The 16195-nt window shown below is 40.7% G+C and overlaps 1 protein-coding gene across 59 annotated transcripts in view; it reads right to left on the bottom strand.

Moving 5' to 3' along the window:
* The window catches only part of SPIDR (scaffold protein involved in DNA repair), a 475429-nt gene that overhangs the window by 75445 nt on the left and 383789 nt on the right, over nucleotides 1-16195 (bottom strand). The window contains exons 1-2 of one of the 59 annotated variants that reach the window (NM_001352960.1): nucleotides 1172-1198; nucleotides 348-417 (exon numbers count right to left, since the gene is read on the bottom strand). The exons of 57 other annotated variants lie outside the window; for them this stretch is intronic. Coding sequence is in view for 1 of the 2 variants with exons in the window: in NM_001352959.1 (NP_001339888.1) it covers nucleotides 6713-6771 (59 nt within the window). In the remaining variant the exon portion in view is untranslated. Of the gene's footprint in view, nucleotides 1-347; nucleotides 418-1171; nucleotides 1199-6712; nucleotides 6775-16195 lie in introns of those variants that run through there. One more of the 59 variants, NM_001352959.1, reaches the window with a different exon arrangement.

The following is a 16195-nucleotide window of genomic DNA, read 5'->3' as shown; positions in this document are numbered from 1 at the left end:
CCCTCTCATTAAGGGCCAGCTCTCCTAAGTCCTGAAGCCAGGTGTCTGCATTTTTATAAAAGGCCTAATCTCATGGGAAGGGGCTCACAGGAAGGTGCTTGAGAGTGGCACAGGGTATACCATTTCACATAGATGCGGCCTTATGACGGTGACCTCATCATTCAGCTACAGCTGTTTTGCTTTGTAAGGTAAAGCTCCACTGTGGGTAAAGCAATACATAACCATTAGAATACCATGTCTACAGCGGGTCCCTGCCCCTAGCCACCCACACTTCACCCCTCTCAACTGGGAAAACAAGGCAGCAGTCAGAAAGTGGTTCCAGGGGAACAGGGTAGCAGCAGAATCACCTGTTTCAGCCATCAGCTGCCATTCCGCAGGACTTTGATTCTGTGCATTTCTGAGCCATGAGGGTGAGGCCTGGACCATGTTGGAAGAGCCGATTAAAACTGGTGCCAGATGAAACCACATTCCACAGTGCATTCCCAGCAACATAAAATAATACAGATAAGAGGTTCCCTGTTCACGTTGGAAGTATAAAAGTCCATTATGAAGTGAATATTTGTCTTTAAGAATTTTTTTTTCCTTTTCTTACCAACTTAATGTCCATTATGCCAATTAAAGAGTATTTCAAAAACTGTAAAAATACGTCTTGTTTATCTGTAAAGGCAACAGAACAAATCACAAGGAATAAAAAAATAAAACTCTTAATTTTGTAGGGGAAGTTGTGGGAGTACAATTTAATTTCTCTTTTAAAAAAGTTTTAACTGTCCCTTCCTCCTTTCCAAAGCTACGTGTTTTCCCTTTCTTTCATTCACTGGCTCAGTTTCATAGCTACACGAATGAAGGACAGCGAGAGCACAGCAAACGTGTGTGCCTGCGCACGCATGTGCTGAGAGGGCAGATTAAGTGGCTATGTGGGATGTTTACGTGAGTTATGGGAGCAGTTCTTAGCAGTCCACCAAGAATTCCCGGAATCGGAGTCAGGCCCGGCTGTTTCATTCTAGGTCACTGTCAACTTAAGCAGCCTCTAAAGATCAACAAAGACCTGCCCTCCACTTTATAATCTCTTACGAAGCTTCAACCCAAGGAAAAAAACCAAGAAATCAGAGGATGAAGTGATAAGAAGAGAGAGAGAAAAAAAGGGAGCATGGGGACAGAAGAGGGCTGGAACCTGAGCGCAAGGGAGCCGCTGAGAAAAGGCGGGGGCGAGAAGGGCCAGAGCGAGGGCGGGGCGGGGTGGGGGCGGGGACGCATTGGGGGCGGGGGCCTCGCCCACTCCTGTAGCCGCCTGGGAGGAGGGCCGACCGGGAAACCAGAGACAGCAGGACATTGTGTTCTTCTTCTCAAAAAACAACCAGCCTCTGCGCTCCCAAAGTAAACAGTTAATCCTGTTGTTTATCTTTTTAACATGAGATGTTAGCACGACTTCTACTGCACAGAAATGTTTTTTATTCATTTAAAAATCATATTTTCTCTTTGCTGAAATAAAAATGTGACATGTAAACTTTTAAATATCAATGAACCGAAAGGAATAACAATCTTACTTTGCTAAAAGTGACAACCAAAAGAAGAGGGAAAAAAACCTCAGCCTTTTTCCCCTTCTGAGACAAGGCCACCCTCCGTCTCCCAGGCTGGAGTACCGTGCTGTCATCTCGGCTCCCTGCAGCCTCAACTCCTGGGCTCAACTGGTCCTCCCACCTCAGCCTCCAGAGTAGCTGGGACCACAGGCGCACTCACCACCTCGCCCAGCTAATTTTTGTATTTTTGGTAGAGACGGGGCTAGGCCATGTTGCCCAGGCTGGTCTCAAACTCCTGGACTCAAGTGATCCACCAGCCTCAGCCTCCCAATGTGCTGGGACTGTAAGTGTAAGCCACTGTGCGGCGCTGAGAAGAGTCTTTTCTTTTTTTTTTTTTTTTTTGAGATGGAGATGGAGTTTTGCTCTTGTTGATCAGGCTGGAATGCAATTGCGCTATCTTGGCTCACTGCAATCTCCACCTCGCCGGTCCAAGCGATTCTCCTGCCTTAGCCTCCTGAGTAGCTGGGATTACAGGTGCCTGCCACCACGCCCTGCTAATTTTTTGTATTTTTAGTAGAGATGGGGTTTCGCTACGTTGGCCAGGCTGGTCTCGAACTCCTGACCTCAGGCGATCCACTGGCCTCGACCTCCCAAAGTGCTGGGATTACAGGCGTGAGCCACCAAGTCTGGCCGAGAAAGGCCTTTTCCATACTCACACACCATCTTTATTGTAGAAAAACATTGTGCTGCTGAGATTAACAACAACAACAACAACAACAACAACAACAACAACAACAACAGTAACAAAACCCTGCTGCAAGCTTGGTCTTTAAGGAAGACACAAATAAAACCGCTGACACAACTGGTGCCAGTCTGGACTTTGATTTGTTTATTGCCGGTGAATATCGAACTATTTTTTTTTTTTTGAGATGGAGTTTCTCTCTTGTTGCCCAGGCTGGAGTGCAATGGCGCAATCTCGGCTCACTGCAACCTCTGCCTCCTGGGTTCAAGCGATTCTCCTACCTCAGCCTCCCGAGTAGCTGGGACTACAAGCATGTGCCACTATGCCCAGCTGATTTTGCATTTTTAGTAGAGACAGGGTTTCTCCATGTTGGTCAGGCTGGTCTCAAACTTCCGACCTCAGGTGATCCGCCCGCCTCGGCCTCCCAAAGTGCTGGGATTACAGGTGTAAGCCACGGCACCCGGCCAAGACGTCGTATAATTTGATAGACATTTACCCATGGAACACGTTTTCAAAGATACCTCTTTTGCCTTTTTTTTTCTTTTTCTTTTTCTTTTTTTTTTTTTTTTTTTTGAGACAGGGTCTCAATCTGTTGCCCAGGCTGGTGTGCAGTGGCATGATCACGGCTCAGTGCAGCCTCAACCTCCTGGGCTCAAGTGATCATTCCACTGCAGTCTCCCAAACGGCTGGGACTAAGGCCTGTGCTACCGTGTCCAGCTAAATTTTTAAATTTTTTGTAGAAATGGGGTCTCACTATATTGCTCAGGCTGGTCTGGAACTCATGGGCTCAAGGGATCTTCCTGCTTTGGCTTCCCAAAGTGCTGGGATTGGAGGCAAGAGCCATTGCTTCAAGCCTGCCTTTTTATTAATTGAAATTTTTATTGAGTTAATTGTAGAGTCACATGCAGTCCTAAGAAATACCACAGAGAGAACCCCTGTACACTTCACCCAGTTACCCCAATAGTATAAACTATATGTACTAGTAAACAATAGTACAATACCACAACTAGGATATTGACATTGTTAAAACCTGCCACTCTTTTACTTGTATGTGTGTCACATATTTAGTTTGATACAGTTTTATCACCTGTGTAGGATCCTGTACCTTCTACCACAGTCAAAATACTGAACAGTTCCATCACCATAAGGGTCCCTCAGGCTGCCCTTTAATAACCCACCTCCTTCCATCTCCCAACCCTCATGACTAACATCAGAAAAACATTCATCTGTCCTCTCTTCTAAAATTTTTGCCATTTCAAAAATGTTACAAAAATTGAATCATCCAGTATACAATTTTTGGGATTGGATTTTTTTTTTCCTCAGCACAATTCCCTGGTAAGTAAAACAAGCTATTATGCCTTTTATTTTTATAACAGCTTTACTGAGGTATAATTCACATGCCATAGAATGGACCTGTTTATATTGTAGCAAAATACACATAACATAAAATTTACCATTTTAATCCTTTTAAAGTGTACCACAGTGGCATTAAGTACATTCACAATGTTCTGCAACCATCAGCACTATCTAATTCCAGGATATTTTTATCATCCCAAAAGGAAACCTCCATCCATCAATTACTCCTATTCTCCCCTCCCCTGAGTCCCTGGCAACAATTGATTGGATTTCTGCCTCTATGGATTTGCCTGTTCTAGTTATTTCACATAAATGGACTCATATGATATGTGGCCTTCTATGTCTAACTTCTTTTCACTTAGCATGATGTTTTCTAGGTTCACTCATGTTATAGCATGGATCAGTGTTTCATTCCTTTTTGTTGCTGAATGATATTCCATTACATGGATATATCACATTTATTTATCTTCTATCAGCTGACAGATATTGCAGTTGTTTTGACATTTTTGCATTGTGAGTAATGTTGCCATGGAGTGACTCTGTAGAAGTTACATGGATATACGTTTTCAATTCTCAAGAGTATATACCTAGGAGTGAAAATTCTGGGTTATATGGTAATTCCATGTTTAACTTTTTGGGGAACTGCCAGACTGTTTCTCAAAATGGCTGCAACATTTTGCATTCTCACTAGTAGTGTGCCAAGATTCCAACTTCTCCACATCCTGAATTTATCCATACTTGGTATTGTCCTTCTTTTTATTATTGCCATCCTAGTGACTGTGAAGTGGTATCTCACTGTGGTTTTTATTTGCATTTCCCTAGTATCTAATGATGTTGATCATCATGTGCTTACTGTCCATTTGCATTATCTTTGAATAAATGTCTATTTGAATTTTTTAACCATCTTTTATTTGGGTATCTTTTTATTGTTGAGTAGTAAGTGTTCTTTACATATTCTGGATACAAGTCCCCTATCAGACTAGTGATTTGCAAATTTGTTTTTTGAGACGTTAAAGTTTTTAATTTCGATGAAGTCTCATTTATGTATTTTTTCTTTTGTTGTTTATGATTTTGGTGTCACATCTAAGAAACCATTGCCTAATATGTACGGTTAGGAAGATACAGTCCTACATTATCTTCTGAGAAATTTAGTTCTTACATTAGATCTGTGATTCATTTTGCAGTAATTTTTGTGTATGGTATGAGGCAGGTGTCCACCTTAATTCTTTTATATGTGGATACCTAGTCATTCCAAAACCATTGATTGGAATGACTCTTCTTTCTCCATTGAATTGCCTGACACCCATGTCAAAAATCAATGGACCAAAAATGTAAGGCATTATGCCTTTTTAAGAACATATATATCTTTAAAGACTTAAATGTTAGACCCAAAACCATAAAAACCCGAGAAGAAAACCTAGGCAATACCATTCAGGACACAGGCATGGGCAAGGACTTCATGTCTAAAACACCAAAAGCAATGGCAACAAAAGCCAAAATTGACAAATGCGATCTAATTAAACTAAAGAGCTTCTGCACAGCAAAAGAAACTACCATCACAGTGAACAGGCAACCTACAGAATGGGAGAAAATTTTTGCAATCTACTCATCTGACAAAGGGCTAATATCCAGAATCTACAATGAACTCCAACAAATTTACAAGAAAAAAACAAACAACCCCATCAAAAAGTGGGCGAAGGATATGAACAGACACTTCTCAAAAGAAGACATTTATGCAGCCAAAAGACACATGAAAAAATGCTCATCATCACTGGCCATCAGAGAAATACAAATCAAAACCACAATGAGATACCATCTCACACTAGTTAGAATGGTGATCATTAAAAAGTCAGGAAACAACAGGTGCTGGAGAGGATGTGGAGAAACAGGAACAGTTTTACTGTTGGTGGGACTGTGGACTAGTTCAACCATTGTGGAAGTCAGTGTGGCGATTCCTCAGGGATCTAGAACTAGAGATACCATTTGACCCAGCCATCCCATTACTGGGTATATACCCAAAGGATTATAAATCATGCTGCTATAAAGACACATGCACATGTATGTTTATTGTGGCACCATTCACAATAGCAAAGACCTGGAACCAACCCATATGTCCAACAATAATAGACTGGATTAAGAAAATGTGGCACATATACACCATGGAACACTATGCAGCCATAAAAAAGGATGAGTTTATGTCCTTTGTAGGGACATGGATGAAGCTGGAAACCATCATTCTCAGCAAACTATCACAGGGACAGAAAACCAAACACCGCATGTTCTCACTCATAGGTAGGAATTGAACAATGAGAACACGTGGACACAGGAAGGGGAACATGACACACCGGGGCCTGTTGTGGGGTGGGAGGAGGGGGGAGGGATAGCATTAGGAGATATACCTAATGTTAAATGACGAGTTACTGGGTGCAGCACACCAACATGGCACGTGTATACATATGTAACAAACCTGCACATTGTGCACATGTACCCTAAAACTTAAAGTATATATAAAAAAAGAACATATATATCATGCCAGTCGTATTAAAAGATAATGTCTTATATGAGTGTAGGTCTTTAAGAAAGAAAAGAGTCTAAACCTTCTCAAGAGGATCAACCAGAGTTTTAGTTTATCATTGGCAAAGTGTTATATGAGTGCATCTATATTTCGTAGGGTACACAGAATAAAATCACTGCTGCATTTATTTAGGCCAATGAATACAGAGCTAATGTAACTGGCCAGTATCTCTCTTTCTCTAGATCTGTTACTTTACCATCATTATGCAGAGATCCCTCTTGAAGAATGCCCCACTGTTCTCCCAGTCACTGAGTCTCAAAACCTGGAAGTACTCTATTTCCTTTCACATCCAGTTGCTGTAACCTGTCTATTTTCCCTCCGCATCACCTTTTTAATATTCTCCTCCTCATCCCCATTGTCACGGTCTTGCCTTGCTTGTGGCCCTTCCTGCCACCTACATGGATTAGGCAGGTGCTTCCCAACCTGTCTCTTAAACCCTGTTCTTTCCTTTCTTCTAACCCCTCCTGCAGGTTGCTGCTACAGTGCTCCTTCTTATCGAATAGAGTTAATCATGTCACTCACCTGGCCAGAGAACTTTGGGAGTATCCCAATGGCTCCTGCATGCCTCTTGGTACACACATGGTGGGGCCTAAGAAGATCAAGATGCTGCTACCACGCCCCTATCTGTCTTGGCTCCCGCCTGTTCCCCTCATGGAATCTGATAGTCCTTGCCACTCCCACTCATCTAAGTATCATTTTTCAAAGTCAAACTGAAACTCCATGTCTTATATGAAGACTTCTCTTATTCCCATAGTGTAAACAATTCTTTTTCCTTTTTTTCCTTTGCATTAAAAGTGGTTTGTTTTTTTTTTGTCTTTTAGTTCTCATCACATTTACTATGTATTATAATAACTTGAGGAGCTCTTTTCTCTCTCCTGGAAGTTTCTTGAAGGCAGGAATCTTATTTCTTATTCCGTATGTACATGTCAGAGCCCTTAGCTCAGAGACTTATGCATTATAGATAATATATGTTTGTTACACCAAGTTGAGTTAATCAACAGGCATTTATTCAGCCCTCCTGGGGAAAAGGGACATAAGACATAGTTCCTGCCCTTGGGGACAATGTGAGGTAGTTCACAAACCAAAACATATATTGCTACAAAGTATACAAGTGGGAAAGGAAGAACTTAGTGAAGTTGTAAATTAGGACAAGAACAATGAAGGAAAAGAGGGAGCGAGGAAGGAGGGATCTACACTAAGAAAGTTTACTGCTCAAAATGTGCCATCAGCTCAGCATCCCTGGGCACACTGTGGTCTTATTTTCTCTCATGCATTCCCCAACCGACTACCAAATGAGAGGCCATTTGGTATTCCTACTTTCCCATGCCTATTCATCACTGAAACCTGAGAGGCCAAGGATTTGTAACTGGGTATAGAGTAAGGAACAAGACACAGGCCTGGGGATGCAAGTTTTGGTGGTGCCATGGGTAAGTTAGTGTCCTACAGCTTCCCCTGAGCCATCAAAGGGCATGTTGGCCCACGCAAGAGTCACACAGGCTTTCAGAGGCAGGGTTCTTGGAGGGAATAAAGCCTGTAAACCCTGAGGCTCCATTCCATGGAATGGATTAGCATCCCTCCTGTGCCTGGTGAGTGGCATCAGTCATGGACAGTCTAAGGAGAATGAGAAGACAGTTGCTTATATAGTCTTCAGGCTCTGTAGTTCCAGTATGGGACTAGATTAGAGTCTAATGAACTGGGTGAGGTGGGGGTAAACTGCTACTGTAGTGGGCCTACTAGCACAACAGGAAACACAGTGTTGAATCATCCTTAGGTGATTCGCTTCTGAATCAGGGTTTCACATTCTAAGCTGACTGACTGGCTTGGAAACCAGTCCTGTCTAATGCAATGGCTTATAAATCACCTGTTTTTTGTGAAGTATGCATACATGTTCTACCTGCTCTGACCCTACCAAATAAAAAAATCAAACTGCCTTGGCAAATGCATACATACAAGGCTTTCTTCTTTTTCAAATATCAATGGTAATTTTGTAAATTCTGCAATCCTAAGAAAACCTGTTTTAGAAACAATATCACTGAGAAATATTAAATTGTTTTGATACATTTTTCAGTGAAGTAATTTCAAATTTGAAGACGAACCATATTCAGTTTACTGTACTTAAGACAGCAGACAATGGCCACTTTTAGAAGACAACTCTATTTCTCAGAGAGAAGGAAGGTTCCCAGGTAGGAATTAGTTTTGTTTCCAGCCCGCCCACCTTGGAGCTGCCTGCCGTGCCCAGCTGACATCCTCCTGCTGCCTGCCCAGCCTGCCCTTTCCACTGGACCTGGGTGCCCAGCAAAACACGGCCTCTAGGACTTTGCTTTGCAGTGCTCACCACCTAGCCTAGGTGTATCTCTTCTCTCTCTGCACATTGGCTCCAAATGCTCAGTGCAGTCTCTGCTGGGAGCGTATGTCACTCTCTCTTTCCTGCCAACCTTCCTGCCAACCTTTGAGAAAGTGTGGGCCTCACATTTCCATTTGATTGCCTCCTACTCACTTTTCTGATCATTTTAAAAAGTTTTTATTTAATTTCTGACCCTTATTTATTTTTTAAAAATTTCAATAGCTTTTGGGGGTACAAGCGATTTTTGGTTACACAGATGAATTGTATAGTGTTGAAGTCTGAGATTTTGAGGTTTTAGTGCACCCATCACCCGAGTAGTGTACAGTGTACCCAATATGTAGTCTTTTATTCTTCACCCTCTCCCACTCTCCCCCATCTAAGTCTCTGTAGTGCATTATATCACTTTGTATGCCTCTGTGTGCTGGCAGCTTAGCTCCCATTTGTAAGTGAGAACATACAGTATTTGGTTTTCCATTCCTGAGTTACTTCATTTAGAATAATGGCCTCCAGCTCCATCCAAGCTGCTGCAAAAGCCATTATTTTGTTCTTTTTTTTATGGCTGAGAAGTATTCCATGGTGTGTATAGTGATTTTTCTTTATCTACTCATTGTGTGATGGATGGTCACTTAGGTTGGTTCCCTATCTTTGTAATTGTGAATTGTGCTGCAATAAATATATGTGTATAGGTGTCTTTTTTTATATAATGATTTACTTTCCTTTGGGTAGATACCCAGCAGTGGAAATGTTGAATCAAATGGCAGATCTACTTTTAGCTCTTTAAGGAATCTCCATACTGTTTTCCATAGACCTGTACTAATTTACATTCCCACCAGTACTGTATAAGCGTTCCCCTTTCACCACGTCCGTTCCAGTATCTATTGTTTCTTAACTTTCAAAATAATGTCCATTCTTGAGGGGGTAAGGTGCTATCTCACTGCGGTTTTAATTTGGATTTCCCTGATAATTAGTGATGTTGAGCATTTTTTCATGTTTGTTGGCCATTTGTAAGTCATCTTTTGAGAAATATCTATTCATGTCATTTGCCTACTTTTTGATGGGATTACTTGTCTTTCTCTTTTTTCCTTGCTGATTTGCTTGAGTTCTTTGTAGATTCTAGATATTAGTCCTTTGTCAGATGCACAGTTTACAAATATTTTCTCTCATTCTGTGAGTTGTCTGTTTGATGATTATTTCTGTTGCTGTGCAGAAGCTTCTTAATTAGGTCCCATTTATTTATTTTTGTCTTTGTTGTAATTGCTTTTGGGTTCTTAGCCATGAATTTTTTGCTTAGGGGATGTCCAGAAGAGTTTTTCCTGGGTTATCTTCTAGAATTTTTATGGTTTCAGGTCTTAGATTTAAGTCTTTGATCCATCTTGAGTTTATTTTGTATAAGGTGAGAGATGAGGATCCAGTTTCATTCCTCTCCATGTGGCTTTTCAGTTTTCCCATCACCAATGATTAAATAGGGTGTCCTTCCCCTAATCTATGTTTTTATATGCTTTGTTGAAGACCTATTAACTGTAAGTATTTGGCCTTATTTCTTGGGCTATTCTTTTCCAGTGGTCTGTGTATCTACTTTTATATCAGCACCACGCTGTTTTGGTAACTATAGCCTTATAGTATAATTTGAAGTCAGGAAACATGACACCTCCAGATTTATTCTTTTTGCTTACTATTGCTTTGGCTATTCAGGCTCTTTTTTGGTGCCTATGAATTTTAGGACTGTTTTTTCTAATTCTGTGAAAAATGATGTTGGTATTTTGATAGGAATTGCATTAAATCTGTAGGTTGCTTTGGGCAGCACGACCATTTTCATGATGGTCATTCTTCCAATCCATGAGATGAGACGAGACGTGCTTACATTTGTTTCTGTCATCTATGATCATTTCCAGCAGTGTTTTCCGGTTCTCTTTATCTTTCACCTCCTTGGTTAAGTATATTCCTAAGTATTTTATTCTAATTTTTGCAGCTATTGTTAAGAAAGACTGGGTTCTTGATTTGATTCCCCGCTTGGTCATTGTTGGTGTATAGCAGTGCTACTGATTTTTGTACATTGATTTTGTACTCTAAGACTCTGCTGAATTTGTTTATCAAATCTAGATGTCTTTTGGAGGAGTCTTTAGGGTTTTCTAGGTATACAATCATATCAGTGGCAGACAGTAACAGTTTGACTTCCTCTTTTCCAATCTGGGTGCCCTTTAATTCTGTAGCCTGATTGTTCTGGCTAGCACTCCCAGTACTATGTTGAATAGAAGGGTGACAGTGGGCATCCTTGTCTTGTTCCAGTTATCAAGGGGAATGCTTTCAGCTTTTCCCCATTCAGTATGATGTTGGCTGTGGGTTCGTCATATACGGTTTTTATTACTGTGAGGTATGTCCCTTCTATGCCAGGTTTGTGGAGAGTTTTTATCATAAAGGGATGCTGGATTTTATTGAATGCTTTTTCTGCATCTATTAAAATGATCATATGATTTTTGTTTTTTTATTTTGTTAATGTGATGTATCATATTTATTGACCTGTATATGTTAAACCATCCCTGTAAAAAGTTTTAAATCTCAAATTTACTAAAAAGTTCTAAATACAGTAAAAATCATGTTTTTTTCCCCTGAATTATTTGAGGGTAACTTCTTGACATGATACCCCTTCATTCCCAAATACTTTTGTGTGTTTTTCCTACAAATAAGGACTTTTTCCCATATAGCCGCTCTACAGCCATAAGAGGAGGACATGAACCCTGATCTTCCCTCCACCTAATCTTCCTACTCACTCATGTTTCACCCATTGCCCTGGTAATGTCCTGTATAGCAAAAGGAGATAGTTCAGAATCGGGCTGCATTTAGTTGTCATGTCTCTTAATACTCTGCAGTCTGGAATGGTTCCTCAGTCTTTCCTTGACTTTCATAACCCTGACATTTTGGAAGGAAACAGTTCAGGTATTCTGTACAGCATGAACCCTCATTTTGGGTTTGTCTGATTTCTTCTCATTGTGAGATTCAGTTGATCTATCATTGGTAAAAATAACACAGAAGTGATGCTGTGTGCTTTTTTTTTTTTGCATTCTTCCCACTTTTTCTTGACAGGCTCTTTCTATGCTGCCTAGGCTAGAGTATAGTGGGTATTCACAGGAATGATCATTGTGCACTACAACCTCAAACTCCTGGGCTCCAGTGATCCTCTCACCTCAGCGTCCTGAGTGGCTGGGACTATAGGTGTGCATCCTGGGCCGGCTTCTAATTACATTCTGTGTATTAAAATAATTACATTATTTTAATTTGTCCCAATACTGATGACGCTGACTTTTTAAAACTTAAGGTGATGTCCGTCAGGCTTCTCAACTATAAGTTACTCTTTTTCCTTTTGAAGTTAAAAAACATTGTGTAGGAGATACTGTGAAACCGTCTAATATCCTATTCCTTATCAAATTTCCAATTCATTCATTTTCTTAAATTATTTTTCATTTGTTTTCATCGAGTCTTACTGAATGGTTTATAATCTATAACTATCCCTTATTTTGATGCATGAATTGCCCCAGATTTGGCTAGTTGGGGACTCTTTCAAGCTAGCTTCGGTGTCCTTTTTCTTTTTGATGTCCCCATCATTCTTTGAGAACATTCTTACTTTCTAACATAACAAGATTTCAAGGCTCATCTTGTATTTTATCTCATCCAAACTTGGAATCAGTCACTTTGCCAATTCCCTTCAGGTATTTAGAAGCTACTATCTGGCACTAGGTGTGCTCATTGCTACTGACGTATCACTGTCCCAGAGCCTCTTAGTAGAGCTGGGAAGTGTGTGCACACATACACCCTCTCACACAAACAGACACTGACTTCTGTTCATTCACCCATCCATCTTGAAAAGTACGAGTTTATACTACCCTAATTCTGATCAAACATGACAGGGTTCATTTTACTTTTCTCCCTTTTGGTATTTGTGACTCACAGGTCCCTCAACAAACTCAACATGTTTAAAACCATCATCTCAGCTCTCTCCAACTCTGTTCTCCCTCCTGAATTTTCTGTCTCGTTTAATGGTATCACCATTCATCTTGTTGCCCAAACCTTAGAATCCTTCTGGATCCCTCCCTTTTCTCCACCTCCCACATCCAATCATTCAGAGTGCTAAGTTGAATTAACTTTCTACCTCTTGGATATCTCCAGTTCTGCACCATGTCTTTATCCACCAGCTTGCCCTAATGGAGGACTCAGACTCTCTTGCTTCTCACACAGTCATTTAGAATCACTTCTACAGGGGTTCCAGATTTTCTAATGGCTTTGTATCACACGTGGAATAAAATCCAAAGGCCTTATTATCATGGCTTTCTAGACCTCCTCACGATCAGAGTCCCAACCCTACCCTTTCTACCTCTCTGACCTTCATGTATGTGATGCACAGAAACACTGGCCTCCTTGTCATTCCACAAACATGCCAAACAGATCCCTTCTTGCATCCTCAAGTACCAGATCTCCCTGCTGAGATGCTCTCCCTACACATTTACATGACTTACTCACCCATCTCCATTCAAGTATTAACTTGTCAGTGAGACTTTCCTTGAGTCTTATGTAAAAATAGCAGCCCTCCACCTTCACTGTCCCTTATCTTGCTTTATTTGAAGTTGTAACCATCATTTCTCTCTCTCTCTCTCTCTCCCTCTCTCCCTCTCTCTCTCTCCCTCTCTCTCTCTCTCTCTCTCTCTCTCTCTCTCTCTCTTTCGAGATGGAGTCTCACTCTGTCACCCAGGCTAGAGTGCAGTGGCGCAATCTCGGCTCCTGCAACCTCCGCCGCCTGAGTTCAAGCGATTCTCCTGCCTCAGCCTCCTGAGTAGCTGAGATTATAGGCGTGCACCAACACGCCTGGCTAATTTTTGTATTTTTAGTAGAGATAGGTTTTCACCATGCTGGCCAGGCTGGTCTCGAACTCCTGATCTCAGGGGATCCACCCACCTCGGCCTCCCAAAGTGCTGGGATTACAGGCGTGAGCCACTGCGCCTGGGCTTACTTTCTTACATTATATCTATTGGTCTGTGGCCAGTCTTCCCCCAAATAATGGCAGTTCCAATGGTGTATGGATTTATTTATTTATTTTGGCCCTTATTTCTTGCTGTATCCCTAACACCTAGAACAATGCTTGAAACACAGTAGGCACACAATAAATATTTGTTGAATGGATAAATGTTTCAGCATGGTCTTCTTAATTATATTACACAGTTGCTTAACATTATATCAAGCTGTATGTCATATTATTCAACTAAATAATCCCCCACACTGACATTTAGGTTGCTTCTATTTTCCCCATTATTATAGGTATTGCTACCATGAAGAAGAACAGCGTTTATGTGTAGTTTTTGTTTAGTTTTCATGAATTAAATTTCTAGGGAGTATTGGGTCAAAGAGTATAACATTATTGCTGTATATACTGCTTTCCAAAATATATATAACGTCTAAACATTTCAAGATAAATAACTATATATAAAGTCCTTTCATTTTTCTGAGTAATATATATAATTCAAAATTTAAAGGTATATGGTGACAAATTTCCCTCTGTCCAGCTCCCGTCCTCCATCCTCTAGTTCCCAGCTACCCCTCACAGATAATCACTGTTACTTGTTTCTCACATATGCTTCAAAAGTTTCTCTCTATATATTCAAGGAATATAGCCCATTTCAAGCATCCCACCATTCCTTCAATGTAACCAATGTCATAGATTTTTCTGTGACAGTTCATTGTTTCCTCATTCTTCTTGTAGCCATATAGAGAGCTGCATAGTATTCTACTATGAGCACGTGCCATAATTTTTAATTTCCTAATGCTGACCTTCAGGCCATTTCCACTTGCTATCACAAAGAATGGGGCAAGGAATAAGCTTGTATTTCATATATACACAAGTATATCTGTTGGATAAATTCCAAGAAGTAGAAGTGCTGGGTCAAAGAGCTGACCTGTTTAAAATTCACACACACACATCTGTATATACACATGCCAAGGTGCTCTCTCTGGAGTGGTGACAATGTACTCTCCCTCCACCAAAGGAAGAGTGTTTATTGCCCCTCAGCCTCACCAAACAAAAGTTACTAAAATTTTAGATTTCTGCAAAATTGGTAGGGGAAAAATAATAGTGTTATTTTAATTCATATTTTTTATCATGAGACATTGAGCATCTTTTCCTTTTATGAACTGTGTATTCATACCCTTTGCCCATTTTTATACTGAGTTGTCAGTCTTCCCTACTAATTTCTATGAGTACCTCATGTACTAGAAAGAGTGGCTCTTTGTAATACAAATCATACATATATATTCTCAATTTGCCATTTAACTTTTAATTTTGTCATGTAGGCTTAATTTTTTCTTTTGGATCCATGGATGTTGAATCAAGAAAAATCTTGAAAAATCAAGAAAAAACTTCCACCTCAAGATACTTCTCCCACTATTTCTTCTAGAACTTTTACGATTTCAGTTTTTAAATCTTTGATTCATTTGTAACCTATCTTGGTGTAAGATTAAAGTGTAAATCGAATTCATTTCTTTTTCCAGATGGCTAACCTACTGTCCTTACCCATTTATTGAATGGTTCATCTTTCCCTATTGATTTGAAATGTATTATTAACTAAGTTCCTGTATATATTTGGGACTCTCTATTCCACTGGTTTATCTACTACTTTAAGGTGAAAAAAATCCTTTAACTTAAAATTAACCTTAGAAAGTGGCTTTCATTAATTTCTGTTTCCCATAGCTAGATGTTATTTATCTTACAGTGTTTTTATAAAGACTAGAGAAGATAATTCCTTCCCGGGTCCAGTGCCTGGCCTTCACGTGCTTACCTCTCTCCTCCACGGTAAGCGCATATCCAATTTGACTCCTTCAGCTTGGTGTCTTAGAGGTCTCCACCTCAACAAGGCCATCACTAGAATTCTGGCCTCCCCCAGTCACCCCTCACCTCAATGACCACACCACCACCAGTCCAACAACCTCACAGTCATCCTTGAGCCCCCACTTCCTATCATCCCACATCTGATTTTTAGCTGTTACTGTAAACCATATCTCTAAAACAGACCCTGAGCCTTTCTGCTTTTCACCATAAGCACTCTGGTCCAGGTCGTCAGTCTGACCTGGCTGGATTTTTGAAATAGCCTAACTTGTTTCCTGTTCCTATTCTTGTACCTCCACATTCCATTTGATCTGGAGCAGCTGGAGTGATCTTTTCAAAGCACAGATTGGATCACATGTATCTCATGCTGAAAACCTTAAAGGCTTCTCACTGTCCTTGGAATGAAGTCTAAACTTCTGGCACCTGGCTCTTCTGTGTGCTAATCATCTGTCTCAGCCCCTGGGTACATCTCTACATCCCAGGTACACTGGCCTCTCTTCTGCTCCTAGAACACAGCAAGTCCATCCTTTTCTTTGCAATAGCTGGTGTCTTTGCATGGAAAGTGTGTCTCCTGGAGCTTTTCGTGGCTGACTCCACTTCATCCGTTAGGTTTCACCTTGAAGCTCTCCCTCTTCAGCTTCCCCTCACTGCTCATTCCAAGGTGACCTTGATGCTCCTATCCAGGTTACTCCATATCATGGCACACAGTATTATGTCTCATAATAATTGGGAGTGCTTTTTGAGCACTTAGCATTCACCATGTACTAGGACCTGTTCTAAGTGCTTTTTGAGTATT

The sequence above is a fragment of the Homo sapiens genome, chromosome 8 (genome assembly GCF_000001405.40).
Source record: "Homo sapiens chromosome 8, GRCh38.p14 Primary Assembly".
In the NCBI taxonomy this organism is placed as follows: Eukaryota; Metazoa; Chordata; class Mammalia; order Primates; family Hominidae; genus Homo; species Homo sapiens.
The sequence above is the reverse complement of the archived record's forward strand: the minus strand, read 5'-3'. Positions and strand labels throughout refer to the sequence as shown.